Source organism: Homo sapiens, chromosome 4 (genome assembly GCF_000001405.40).
Source record: "Homo sapiens chromosome 4, GRCh38.p14 Primary Assembly".
Classification (NCBI taxonomy): Eukaryota; Metazoa; Chordata; class Mammalia; order Primates; family Hominidae; genus Homo; species Homo sapiens.
Genome location: NC_000004.12, coordinates 31,197,374 through 31,212,691, shown reverse-complemented (window position 1 = coordinate 31,212,691; position 15,318 = coordinate 31,197,374). Strand labels below are relative to the sequence as shown.

At 37.4% G+C, this 15,318-nt stretch overlaps 1 long non-coding RNA gene across 1 annotated transcript in view; it reads right to left on the bottom strand.

Annotated features, from left to right (window-relative positions):
- Positions 1–1,016: 1,016 nt before the first annotated feature.
- The window catches only part of LINC02497 (long intergenic non-protein coding RNA 2497), a 40,532-nt gene continuing 26,230 nt past the window's right edge, over positions 1,017–15,318 (bottom strand). Inside the window, exon 5 of the long non-coding RNA NR_125935.1 lies at positions 1,017–1,141. This is a non-coding gene — a long non-coding RNA (long intergenic non-protein coding RNA 2497). The remainder of the gene's footprint in view (positions 1,142–15,318) is intronic.

Sequence of the window (15,318 nt, the reverse complement as noted above, 5' to 3'; positions counted from 1 at the left end):
GGTTCATGGTTCTGGATGCTGAGAAGTGCAAGATAGAGGTGCTGTATCTGGTGACTGGTGAGGGCCTTGTTGCTGTGTCATAACATGGCAGAAGGCATCACATAGTTAGTGAAGGTGAGAAAGAGAAGAAAAGAAGGCCAAACTCCCCCGTCCCTTTTATCAGGATCCCACTCCCATGATAGCTAACCCATTCCTGTGATAATGGCACTACTCCATTCATGAGGGCAGAACCTCTACATCTAATCATATATTAAGGGCCTCATTGCAATGTAATAGCGATTTGGCAATTAACTTTCAACACGAGTTTTGAAGGGGACATTCAAACCATAATAATGGTGTTATGGGAAGCTCACTGTTGTTATTATGAAATCCAATCTTTCGTCAGATTTCATGTAAGAAATACAACTCAACTTTTCCAATTACTGCTCAGATATTTTTGCTTTCTTTAAAACTCCTTGGAGTTGAAGCTTAGCTTTTATCAGTTGACTTAATGGCCTCATTAAACTTTCATTAACTTCTAGAAGGACACTTTCATATTCTTTATGCAGTTTATGACTTTACCTAGATTATAAGTATTGTTAGTTGTGCATGCCTTCAAAAGGCTTATGCTAAGATAAAGGCTAACTCTGTCCTTCAATTACTATTAAATTCTCCATAGGTAGGTTGGAAGGATTGTATCTGCTGCATTTTGGATAAATAAGACAACTGTATGCACCTTATATCAGTTTATTCTTTTGCATTTTCCATTAAGTATTTCCAGAAATGTTGAAATTTTATTAACATAAAGAAGCAAGACTCAGTTAGAAATGTCAAAACTATTTTTATTGAAGTGATAATCAATTCCTGTTGGCATTGCTAAAAACTTCCAAAAAGTTTATTAATTCTACAAATAATAGGTTAAGATTATGTGACTTGCCAAAAACCACATTATTCTTAAGAATACTACCTAATCAAAGAGGTGCAGATCCCAGCTGCTGTCTTCTACAAGTACACCAAAAAGAACAGAGAAACTGTTATTTATAGTCAAATTGCAATTTATTAGAGCTGTTATTTTGTCAACACGTTACTTCAGTGGTTTGTTTGACATTCTTCTAGATGGACTCTCTCTGGTCCTGTCAATTTTTTCAGTCTTTCGAAGAGCCTGTCAGTAAAAAATATAAAAATCATAGTTGTCTAATGAGGTCTTGCCATATGCGTACATGCACATCTATGATATGCATGGCATTTTAAATCTGTGGATAAAATAAATGTGAATACTTGTTTATTATTTTTTCCATGGGTTCTGAACTAATTATTCAAGTAATTAGGTTTTATCTTCTTTTAGATAATTGACCTTCATACAATGAAAGATCCCTTAATTTTTATAAATATCTAAAATGCCATATATTTGTTGTTTTTATTTCGTGTTTTGATGTGACACAAGCACCAATTTCCTTGCAATACATAGTTTTCTAAAAATAAATCATATTAGTAACACTCAAAGGAACTTTGGAGCTTTGACATGACATATATGTTTTATGAGCTTTCAATATGTCCTTGATAAATGTAAAGGCTTATTAAATGAGCTTCTGTAAGACAAAAGAATCACAAGGTTCATTTTGCCTATACAAGCTTAATTCAAAGCTCCCTCAGACAGTTTTTAAGTTTGTTCATTCACTCAACACATATTTATTTTGTGCCTACCACATATCAAGCACTTTTCTAGGGATAAGAGATACACAGTAAGACAAACCCAGATCCCTGTTGTAATGGATTTTATACACATGGGTGTTGTAAGAGGGAAATATTTGGTAGAAAAACTAGACATGTGAATATAAAATAGGGCATGGTAAGGGAGATAGAGGTACCTGAGTGAGTGTTGCTAATTGATATAGGATGTCAGGGAATTAAGGTCCTCTCTGATAAGGTGACATTTCAGTAGAGATCTGAAGGAAGTAAGAGAATGAACCCTGCAGATAATCCTGTCAAAGGGTATTCCAAGCAGAGGTGGTACAGTAACGCAAAAGGCAAGAAATAGGATCTTGCTTGTCACTGTCAAGGGGTAATAAGGGGACAGTGTGCCAAGGGTTGTTTTGTTCCAATTGCCAATGTTTGAATTTATTGATAATACTTTTAATTTAAGAATATTTTAAGATTTACCAAACATTTGAATATATTATTGTGTTGATTCCTACTACATGCCTGAGATATCATTGGGAATTATTATCCTGCCATTATTTGGGAAGAAATTGAAGTTCAAAGATTTTAAAGGGCCTTGTCTCAAACCTCATAGCTGGTGAATAGACATGCTAAAACTGCAACCTAAGTTTCCTGAGTCCTGGAACATTTTTCTTCCTATTGTTATTATTATTTTCTTCTTCCGATTCTTATTATTATTTTATATTTTGCATCACAGTTAGAGGAGACTGGCCCTTCTCTAAACTTTTCTAAAATTTTCATTTTCTAAAATACATGTTTTTCAAAGGACAAATTCAACCCCAAATGTGAGAATGCAGAAACAAAACCCGGAACAATATCTCTCTTTAAAAGTGCCTGCCGAGAAGCAACCAGAGTGACCATCTGTTGAAATCTTCACATTTTGGCAAAAAAGAAACCAAGGTCAAGAGATACATATTTACAAAGCTTGTAAGACACTTGAATTTAAAAATTGTTTTTCTCCTAAGGAATGGCATATTCATTATCCTTAGATGAAAAGTATTAACTGTCATTCAATAGTTGATTGATGTGAGACTTTAAAATTATTTGAGTCCAAAAATTCAGGACATATCAGACCTCCTCTGAACAGAGGATATGCCATCCTCCCACCAATCCTTTATTCCTTTCATATCATCTACTTAAAATACATTTTCTTTTTATTTTTTTTATTTTTTGAGACGGAATTTTGCTCTTGTTGCCCAGGCTGGAGAGCAATGGCACAATCACCGCTCACTGCAAACTCTGCCTCCTGGGTTCAAGCGTTTCTCCTGCCTTAGCCTCCCGAGTAGCTGGGACTACAGGCATGCACCACTGCGTCCGGCTAATTTTGTATTTTTAGTAGAGACAGGGTTTCTCCATCTTGGTCAGGCTGGTCTCGAAGCCCAACCTCTGGTGATCCACCCGCCTTGGCCTCCCAAAGTGCTGGGATTACAGGCGTGAGCCACCGCACCCGGCCCCTAAAATACATTTTCATTCTCACCACCTCTGAAAGTTTTTTTTTATTGTTTGAGGTATCATTTATGAACCACTATGCCAATCACTCCCTGACTCCTTCATATCAGTCTCATATAGGTCAGAACACCATCAATGCTTGGGTTGATTTCTCATTTTGCAGCTAAAATATGCTCTTTTTATTGTCCGTTATGTTTAAACTGTCAATAATATCTGTCTTAGCATCCCTAAACAAAACAAATGATAAACTTTTATGGACTCTTTGTATTTCCAGCCCCTTTATTTTACACACACACACATAAACATATATACATATACATACAAACACACATGCATGTATATATAATAAATTCTATGATAATCGCTTATAATAATGGATGGTGTTGATGATGATGAAAAAAGAGATGACTTAAGTCAAAATGGCTGATTATACAAAACTTATGGTTCATATGGACTCTTCACCTTCCAGAATCTTATAATTTTATTCCAGTGCCTATTTCCAACCAAATGCTTACGAATGTTCCTTTGGAGATACAGGGCTGTGGGGGAAGAAATTTAAAATTATAGTGCCTTTACACAAATTTAAATACTGCACAGTATTCCACAGTAGGGAACGCTATGGTGAGCATATTGAGTCATTCTCCTAAAGAAGAAATTTAAATTTTTTGATGACTTTTTTTTTATAGTAATCACCAGAATTTTCTTCCTTGAAACTCTCTGGAAAAAAAAAAAAAAGCCCTTATTAGTTAGCTAAGCATTAACAGTTCCTTTACTACTTGGATCCTTAGTCTTCCTAATTATGTCTCAAGGGCTTAATAATCTGGCAGACAAAGGGAAACCAGTTTCATGCTTATTTCAAAAATTCTTTAAGGCACAGGAACTTTATATTACTTTATACATTTAAGGCAAACCAATTGTTAAATCAAGGTTTTTCTTACAGAATGGAAATAAATTATATAACTTTAACCAAGTTTTTTTTTTTTTACCAAGAAAAAGACAATTTCTGATAGCACATACAAGAGTGAAAGTGGTAATTTAATATACAAATACATTCAAAGCAGTGAGAAAAAAATTAGCAACCATACAATCATGCTTTCTGATGATGAGTGAACCACAGATAAGAAGTTGCCTTTTATTGAAGATTATCATTTTCACTTAAGTAACTCAGTACATGGGAACTGACTGGAAACTCAGGTACCTAGGCAAGCAAAAAAAAAAAAAATGGTTTTATGTGTGGATGCAGAAGGTACATATCCAAGAAGAAAAACTAAGTTTAATAAGGTCCCAAGGTCCATTACAGAAAGGGTATCAAGAAATAGCTCTGAATCTGTTTTGTGAGATAATGTCTTACAACTTAGAATATTGAGTCAGAGAGAAATCTTGGACTGTTGTTATCTCCTGCTGCAATCATAGTCCTGAGCTAGAAAGCATCATGCATAAAGCACTACATAAAGAAAAAAACAACTGATAAAGTATTCACTTAGCTTGGTATTTCCAAAGACAGTTGAAACCAGAGTGACAAAAGTTCTCTTAGAAGCCTAGAATGCTGGAAGGATTTAGATAGATCAAAATTTAGCAGGGTAATCTTAATAATTGCTCATTTCTAGTGGAAATTGTGGCTCCAGATAGCAGTTCAGTAACAGGATCCTTCAGCCAATCAAATATAATGAAATATAAATAATTAAATGCAATTTTAAATAGTGGTCAAAAATATTTTGGAGGAAAAACCAAAACCCTGGAGAAGTTATAGACCAAATAGCCTGTTTTTGCTCCCAAAGTATGATGGACAACCTAAAATATTAGAAGACTTTTTGAATAACATGAGCATTTCACATGTGGTGTTCTCAGTGTATAAATTGTGCTAAATGAACAACATTATTTGATGCACAAAAGAAATCCTTTGAGGAAAAAAGTAATCATTAGCTATGTCAGGCAGTCTTGTGACAGTGCCACAACATACCCATCTGATATAGCGTAATATCATTGATTTTTTTTTTAAATAACAACCCTGGGTTGTGCTGAATAAAAAGAAAACTAGAAATGGACATTGATTGAATACTCACTAGGCAATACACTATGCATCGTACACAGACTTCCTCATTTAAGCATTACAACCACCATATGAGGAGGTTTTTACCTGATTTTTTTTAAATGGGAAGATTGTATAGTAAGAGGGGGAGAAACAGGAGAGAAGGCACAGGAGAGAAAAAAAATAAAACTAGAGAACCAGAAAAAATGTTGAAAGATCCAAGACAGCTGAAATTTTTTTTAATGCTTCAGAGCTGATACATTCCAAGATAGCTGTCCCACTTCCAAATTGCCCATAAAATATAACTCTAAATATACATTGAATTAATTTAGCTGTAGAAAACCCTCACTTAAAGGCATTTACTGAAAAGTGAGCCAAATATTGATTTCTGGAAATAACTATTTGAAATTAAATATCTAGATCACAAAAGAAATAACCGATTGATATCAACATTTGCCAAAATATATTCACGAGGATTACTGTGCATGGTCATGAAAACGCCATGCAACTTTTTGATGATAAACACTTAACTAAGCTCTTCATTTATCCCTGTTAATATTTAAGCTCAATTTTTTTAAAAAGAAAGATCTAAATTAGAGATCAAAAAGCTTTATTAAATTATTGCATGTTGTAATTTGATATTTAGTTATATGTAGAACTGACTTTGCTGAAGCTAAGGTGAAGGTACTGTTTTATGTTTAGAATGAAGAAAAAGTTTATTTGAAATATTTCCCAAGATTCCTCCACTCATAATTAATTCCCTGCCTCTCCTTTTTCTTTTGCAGTTTTTGTGAAGGATATAGTCACATTTCCTATAAAAAGGTCAAATTAAGCAGTACTGTATGCCTTACGTACATATAGTTTTTCTTCCCTTTTGTGCATAATGAAAATGTTAATAAGTATCACAAATTCTAAACGGATGTTCAGTAATATTTTTTCATCAAATAATTCTAAATATTCTATTAATTCAGAGATATATTTTTCCATGTCTTTATGCAATTTGAAGAAATCTTAAAGTATAGCAGCTCTGCAATCAGAAGACGTTAAAAAACATAAAAATAAAAACCTTGTGACTGGGAAAATGGGCATTTATGGTTGAACCATTTGGACAATTCGTTATTTCTTTGTGGTATAAAAACAGGTCTCATGTTTAGGGCTTGCATTCACATTACTCCGTTCTACTCTGTTATATCCTTTACTTTTTTTTTTTTTTGAGGTGGAGTCTCACTCTGTTACCCAGCCTGGAGTGCATTGGCATGATCTCAGCTCACTGAAACCTCTGCCTCCCAGGTTCAAGCAATTCTCCTGCCTCAGCCTCCTGAGTAGCTGAGACTACAGGTGTGTGCCACCACTCCTGGCTTATTTTTTGTATTTTTAGTAGAGCTGGGGTTTCACCATGTTAGCCAGGATGGTCTTGATCTCCTGACCTCGTGAACCACACACCTCGGCCTCCCAAAGTGCTGTGATTACAATATCCTTTACTCTTAACTTCAATAGCTCTGTCATGCGCTTTTTTTTTTTTTTAAACTTGCTCCTAGAGTATTCTTAATCCTGCAATTATCCAATAATCAAGGCATTTGATTATTTTAATTTCCTGTTTATTTTTTCTTAATGCCCCAAATAATTACAGACTGAAAAGAAAATGGTTTAGGGTGACATTATCACACTAGCTTGAATAAACATTGCCCGATTATTTTTTACCTGCCCTGTATAACTTTACTTGTTCTTTTTTTTTTTTCTGGGCTGGAAAATAAAGGTCATTTTATAAGTAAGATAAATAGAGCCGGGAGCTTTTTCCTTCACTATGGATCTCACATTCATTGAAACTGAACCTACCCCTACTTCTTGCATATTGTCTTTTTAGTATTTATTAATGTAGTTCCCTCTTTTCTTCTGGTTGGTGTGACCCCGCCCCGCTTTAAACTGCCCTCTAAATACTTTTCATTATCCTATTCTGCAATGGAGAATAACTTGTGACTCAAGATATTTTCTCCCTGATTTCCCTCCTTGACCTTCATGGGTTCTATTAATAATAATTAATAAAAATACTTCTTTTAGTTTGAGCAAAAAAAAGCACTCTCAGAAAATGATCCTGTTTTTTCTTAGATACCACATAGTATTAGAATGACGTGAAGTAATTATCAAATAGTCACAAAATAAGTTTCCCCGACTCATAGTCACTCACAGGGTGGAGTTTTCATTTATCCACTTTGTTATATAGTACACATATTGGAAACTCATTTTTGTTTAATGTGATGCAAACTGGTCTCTAGGAATACACTAGGAAGCATCTTCACTCAGACAACTCTGCAATCTCATTTGTCTGCCTAGACAAGCTAATCTGATTGTAATCATGTTACTTATCTCTTAATTTCTTTTGAAGCTGATGTACATCAGAAGTGGCATTCAGCTGGGAATAACATAGGTAAAATTGATTTTTATCACATTTGAATGTTTCAGGGCCTGGGCATGTGTTTTTTAGATAAGCAATCTTAAACTACCTTGGGGTGGGAGTCCAACAGAGAAGCCACAGGCATAAACTCAATGGTGAAACATAACAAGACTATAATATTGCCAACAACAACAATTATAAGTAAATTCTGATCCCCATCGCTTTTTTTTCCAGAGTGAATTAGTCATAGATAATCACTAACAAATGCACACCTATTTTATTATAGAACTAAAGAAACTGGTATTGTTTAAACAATGCCTGACTGCCTTCCTCCTCTTGAATTAGATTCCCTTACAATGTCAAAAACAAATACTATGAAAAACAATAGTATAATTTATTTCTAAACTGGATTCATGAAAGATATTAAATAGCCAAGTCATTTTAAAATGAAGCACACCAGCTGCAAATTTTACTTGATAACCATTGGTTGAGCGGGGCGGGCCAGGGGTAGGGGGGGAAACACTAGAAACCATAAGAAGTCATAATGATTTTATTTATTCATGATCTTGTACACACACTCCCTGGTCTGAAAAAGATACAAGAAGCCTTCAGGCCGGGCGCGGTGGCTCACGCCTGTAATCCCAGCACTTTGGGAGGCCGAGGCGGGTGGATCACGAGGTCAGGAGATCGAGACCATCCTGGCTAACAGGGTGAAACCCCGTCTCTACTAAAAATACAAAAAAAAATTAGCCGGGCGCGGTGGCGGGCGCCTGTAGTCCCAGCTACTCGGGAGGCTGAGGCAGGAGAATGGCGTGAACCCGGGAAGCGGAGCTTGCAGTGAGCCGAGATTGCGCCACTGCAGTCCGCAGTCCCGCCTGGGCGACAGAGCGAGACTCCGTCTCAAAAAAAAAAAAAAAAAAGAAGCCTTCAATTTCAGGTTACTGAATTAGATAATTTCTCAGTGTAACTTCTTCAAGAATTGAGTGCTGACAGCATATACCATGGAGAGACAGATCCATGATGAGAGGTCTAGGTAACAGATAATGGGAGGATGGCCAGCTAGGCAATTAGAGACAGGCAACCAGAACTGTGATGATAATCGTCTGGTGGTAGAAATCACAGCAGATGGCTGAATGTAGGAAGAATGATCAATCACAGCATTGTTTGTAGTAACTAAAATTTGGAAATAACTAAATGCCCACCATTAGAGAAATAGATAATGAGAACATGGACTATTAATGGAACAATGATCAAAAATAGTATATACAGGGAGAGAGAGACATGCAAGTAGAGAGAAATTGGTTTTAAGGACTAAATAAAAAGCGAAAGAAGTCTATATATATATATACACACACACACATATATATGTACATATATGTATATATATGTGTATATATGTACATACATATATACATATACATGTACATATATGTATATATATACACACAATTTTTTTTTTTTGAGACAGAGTTTCTCTCTTGTTGCCCAGGCTGGAGTGCAATGGCATGATCTGGGCTCACCGCAACCTCTGCCTCCCAGGTTCAAGCAATTATCCTGCCTCAGCCTCTCGAGTAGCTGGGATTACAGGCATGCCCCACCATGCCAGGCTAGTTTTGTATTTTTAGTAGAGACGGGGTTTTTCCATGTTGGTCAGGCTGGTCTCGAACTCCCAACCTCAGGTGATCCGCCCCCCTCAGCCTCCCAAAGTGCTGGGATTACAGGCGTGAGCCACCATGCCCAGCCTATAATATGTATTTTTAAAATGCCACTCTTCAAAGTAAATTTGTTGACAAACCAATATACATGTAGGTAAAAGAATAAAAACAGACTAGAAGTGCATGCACTGACCTTTTGATGGTCTTTGTCTCTGGACATATGGATAGGGATTATTGGAAGGAAGATAAGATTATAAATATTATTATATTATTATTTGTGTTTTTCTATATTTTTACATTTATTTGCAATGAAAAAAAAGAAAATGCATAAAATACATTCAAGTAGGTAATATGAGAACACCAGATATTCTGTATATGGAGTTCCTGAGAGTTATAGCAGGGGGCAAACTGATGGATGTATGTTACTGGGGAAATCAATTACAACAGGATACATAATAGGTCCCACTTGCTATGAATAATTGCATTATTTAGGATTCTTGATTGCAAGAAATAAGGCTAGGGGGCAAGGAGGGAGGGTGAGATGGGAAAAGAGGAGATGTCTATCAAATGTTATGAAGTTTCAATCCTTTAGACTGGAGGAATAAACTGTAGTGTTTTATTGCACTGCAAACATCATATTTAAAAGGGAAATATAACACATTTTCCCCTAAAAGTGAGAAGATGACAATGATATACAGATTTAACAATTCCATTCATTATTTTAATGGAAGTCTGAACCAGTGCATTAAGACAAGAAAAAGCATTAAAAGGCATCCAAGTTTGAAAGAGAGAAGTGAAAGAATCCGTTTTTTTTAACATGTGACAAAACTGTGTTTCTAAGAAACCCTAAGGAAACGATGACAACAAAGTAAAACCCACATAATAATAAGGGAAGTTACCAAAGTTGCAAGATAGATGATCAATATACCAAAATTTATTTTGTATTTCTACATAACAGTACTAAAAATTGAATTTAAAAATGTTTAAAATTACAGAAAATTATGAAGCATTTAGGGCTAAAAATGCAATGGTGCAAAAGAAGCTCTACTCTAAAAACTACAAATCATTACTAATGTGTCCGGAATTGGTTCCTTCTGGTGGGTTTGTGGTCTTGCTGACTTCAGGAGTGAAACTGCAGACCTTCGCAGTGAGTGTTACAGCTCTCAAAGGTGGCACGTCCGGAGTTGTTCACTCCTCCGGGTGGGTTCCTGGTCTCGCTGACTTCAGGAGTGAAGCCGCAGACCTACATAGTGAGTGTTACAGCTCTTAAAGGTGGCACATCTGGAGCTGTTTGCTCCTCCTGGTGGGTTCGTGGTCTCACTGGCTACAGGAGTGAAGCTGCAGACCTTCTCGGTGAGTGTTACAGCTCATAAAGGTAGTGCAGACCCAAAGAGTGAGCAGCAGCAAGATTTACTGTGAAGAGCGAAAGAACAAAGCTTCCACAGCGTGGAAGGGGACCCAAGCGGGAGCGGGTTGCTGCTGCTGGCTCGGGTGGCCTGCTTTTATTCCCATATTTGGCCCCACCCACATCCTGCTGACTGGTCCATTTTACAGAGCGCTGATTGTTCCATTTTACAGAGTGCTGATTGGTCCATTTTACAGAGTGCTGATTGGTGTGTTTACAATCCTTTAGCTAGACACAAAAGTTCTCCAAGTCCCCACCTGATTAGCTAGACACAGAGCACTGATTGGTGCGTTTACAATCCTTTAGCTAGACAGAAAAGTTGTCCAAGTCCCCACCCAACCCAGAAGCCCAGCTGGCTTCACCTCTCACTAAAATAATGAATTAAAACCTAAGAAAATAGAAAACTCTATCATGTTCATAGATATCTCCAAAATAATCTATAAGCCAATCCAATCGCAATCAGAATCTCCATAAGGATTTTTAAATGATAAGCAAATTCTAAAATTTGTTTAAAAATTCAAAGTATCCAGAACAGTTAAAACAATCTTGAAAACAAAGAACCAATTACAAATATTTATACAACCTGATCTCGAGACTAATTATAATGCTACAATTAAACAGTGTAGTATTAGTTTAAACATAAACTTACAAGTCCATGGAACAGGACATAGAGCCAAAACATGGGCCTGCACATATATGATCAACTGATTTTCAACAGACACTTAGGCAATCCATTGAAGAAAAAAATGTTTTACTTAAATAATGCTGGATCAAGTGGATGTCCATATACAGCATATGTGTTAATTTAAAAGAGGATTGTTTCATATTTTACCTCCTATCCAAAATTGACCTGAGATTAATCAAAAATTGAAATATGAAAGCTTAATTTATAAATTTTCAGGAAAAAAGTATAAGGGAATATCTCTGGAACCTTAAAATAGTGAAATATGTCTTAGCCAAGACAAAAATATCATGAAATAAAAAAGGAAAATAAATAAGTTGAACTTCATCAAAACCTAAAATTTCTGCTCCTCAAAACCCAATATTAAGAATATTTTCAGCCACAGACTGATAGAAAATAAAATACAAAAAGAATTGTATTCAGCATTTAAAAATAATGCATGCATTAATAACAAAATTTTAAATAATTCAATAAAAATTAACAGAAGACTTGCATAGACATTTGAAACAGAAGATACACAGATATCTTGAAAAAATTTTTGATATGGTTTGACGGTGTCCCCCACCCAAATCTCAACTTGAAGTGTATTTCCCAGAATTCCCACGCATTGTGAGAGGGACCCAGTCTTGAATCATGGGGCCCAGTCTTTCATGTGTTGTTCTCGTAATAGTGAATAAGTCTCAGGAGATCAGATGGGTTTATCAGTGGTTTCCACTTTTGCTTCTTCCTCTTTTTTCTCTTGCCTCTGCCATGTAATAAGTGCCTTTTCCCTCCCACCATGATTCTGAGGCCTCCACAGCCATGTGGAAATGTAAATCCAATTAAACATCTTTTTCTTCCCAGTCTCTGGTATGTTTTTATCAGCAGTGTGAAAGCAGACTAATACAGTAAATGGATACCAGCAGAGTGGGTTCGTCCTGAAAAGATACCTGAAAACGTGAAAGCAACTTTGGAACTGGGTAACAGGCAGAGGTTGGAAGAGTTTGGAGGGCCCAGAAGAAGACAGGAAAAGAAGAGAGGTTTGGAACCTCCTAGAGACTTGTTGAATAGCTTTGACAAAAATGCTGATAGAGATATGAACAATAAGGTCCAGGCCGAGGCAGTCTCAGATAGAGATGAGGAACTTGTTGGGAACTGGAGCAAAGGTGACTCTTGTTATGTTTTAGCAAAGAGACTGGCAGAATTTGTTCCCTGCCCTAGAGATCTGTGGAACTTTGAACTTGAGAGAGATGATTTAGTGTATCTGGTGGAAGAAATTTCTAAGTAGCAAAGCATTCAAATGTGACTTGGGTGCTGTTAAAAGCATTTTGCTTCAAAAGGGAAACAGAGCATAAAAGTTCAGAAAATTTATAGCCTGATGATGCAGTATAAACTAAAAACCCATTTTTTGAGGAGAAATTCAAGCAGCTGCAGAAACTTTCATAAGTAGCAAGGAGCGTAATGTTAATCCATGAGGAAAATGTCTCCAGGCTCCAGGCAGCCTCTCCCATCACAGGCCTGGAGGCCCAGGAGGAAAAAGTGGTAATGTGGGCTGGGGTCAGGGTACCTGTGCTATTTGCAGCCTAGGGACTTGGTGCCATGTGTGCCAGCTGCTGCAGCCATGGTTGAAAGGGGCCAATGTAGAACTTGGGCTGTGGCTTCAGAGGGTGGAAGCCCCAAGCTTTGGCAGCTTACACGTGGTGTTGAGCCTGCGGGTCCACAGAAGTTGAGAATCGAGGTTTGGGAACTTCCGCCTAGATTTCAGAAGATGTATGAAAATGCCTGGATGCCCAGGCAAAAGTTTGCTACAGGGGGAGGTCCCTCATGGAGAACGTCTGCTAGGGCAGTGTGGAAGAAGAATGTGGGGTCAGAGGCCCCACACAGAGGCCATACTGGGGCACTGCCTAGTGGAGCTGTGAGAAGAGGGCCACTGTCCTCCGGACCCCAGAATGGTAGATCCACTGACAGCTCGCACTGTGCACCTGGAAATGCTGCAGATACTCAATGCCAGTCCATGAAAGCAGCCAGGAAGGAGGCTGTACCCTGCAAAGCCACAGGGCATACTATGGGCACTCACCTTTTGCATCAGCGTGACCTGGAGCCAAAGGAGATGACTTTAGAGCTTTAAAATATGACTGCCCTGCTGGATTTCAGACTTGCATGGGCTCTGTAATCCCTTTGTTTTGACCAACTCCCTGCATTTGGCTCAGCTGTATTTACCCAGTACCTGTACCCCCATTGTTTCTAGGAAGTAACTCACTTGCTTTTGATTTTACAGGCTTATGGGCAGGAGGGACTTGCCTTGTCTCAGATGAGACTTTGGACTGTGGACTTTTGGGTTAATGCTGAAATGAGTTAAGACTTTGGGGACTGTTGGGAAGGCATGATTGGTTTTGAAATGTGAGGACATGAGATCTGGAGGGGCCAGGAGTGGAATGATACGGTTTGGCTGTGTCCCCACCCAAATCTCAACTTGAATTGTAGCTCCCAGAATTCCCACACATTGTGGGAGCGGCCCCAGGGGAGGTAATTGAATCATGGGGGCTGGTTTTTCTAATGCTATTATCCTGATAGTGAATAAGTCTCATGAGATCTGATGGGTTTATCAGGGGTTTCTGCTTCTGCTTCTTCCTAATTTTTCTCCTGCCACCGCTTCCTGCCATGATACTGAGGCCTCTGCAGCCATGTGGAACTATAAGTCCAATTAAACCTCTTTTTCCTTTTTTTTTTTTTTATTTTTATTTTGAGATGGAGTCTTGCCCTTGTCGCCCAGACTGGAGTGCAATGGCATGATCTCGGCTCACTGCAACCTCCACCTCCCGGGTTCAAGTGATTCTCCTGCCTCAGCCTCCTGAGTAGCTGGGATTACAGGTGCCCACCACCATGCCTGGCTAATTTTTGTATTTTTAGTAGAGATGGAGTTTCACCATGTTGGCCAGGCTGGTCTCAAACTCCTGACTTCATGATCCACCCACTTCAGCCTTCCTAAACCTCTTTTTCTTCCCAGTTTCAGGTATGTCTTTATTAGCAGCATGAAAATGGACTAATACAGTCTTCAATATCAATAGTCATCAGTATCACAGCCTATTTTGTGTTGTTATAAAGGAATCCCTGAGGTTGGGTAATTTATAAAGAAAAGAGGTTTATTTGGCTCACAGTTCTACAGGCTGTACAAGAAGCATGAGGCCAGCATCTGCTTCTGGTGAGGGCCTCAGTCTGCTTTCACTCATGGCAGAAGGTGAAGGGGAGCTGGTGTATAGAGATCACATGACCAGAGTGGAAACAAGAGGAGAAGGAGAAGGTACCAGGTTCTTTTTAACAACCAGCTTTCACAAAAACTAAAAGAGGGAAAACACACTCACCACCCCCCAGAAGAGCATTAATCTATTAATGAGGTATCAACTCCCATAACCCAAATAACTCCCATTAGGCCCACCTCCAATACTGGGGATTAAATTTTAACATGAGATTTGGAGGGGGTAAACATCTTAACTATAGCAACCAGTAAAATGAAAACTAAAACAACAATGAGATATCATTTCATTTGCATTTGAATAGCTAAAATTAAAATGTCTGACAATACCAAATACTGGCAAAGACACAGATCATATTGGAATCCTTGTATGTTGCTGGCAGGGATATAAAATGCCACAAATACTTTGGAGCATTGCTCCTGATAATGTAATCAATTCCTGATACTGTTAAATAAATGTCTAACAATACGAGAGAATAAATAATTTGTGTTATTATGTAATCTTACCACGAGATACAACTAGTAATAAACATTTTGTTGTGTAAAATAAATCTGAAAATAATTGTTTCTTGGAAAATGGGATGACTGTACAGTACACAAGGAACCTTTTGGGAATATAGAAATATTTTGTATCTTGTTTTGCACAGTGGTTACTTTGCTATATATATTTGACAAATTCATTCAAATGAACACTTAAAACCTATGCATGTTATTTTACGTAAATTACACCTCAATGGAAAAAAAAATCAAAACCTGTCCATTTTCTTTCATGTAAA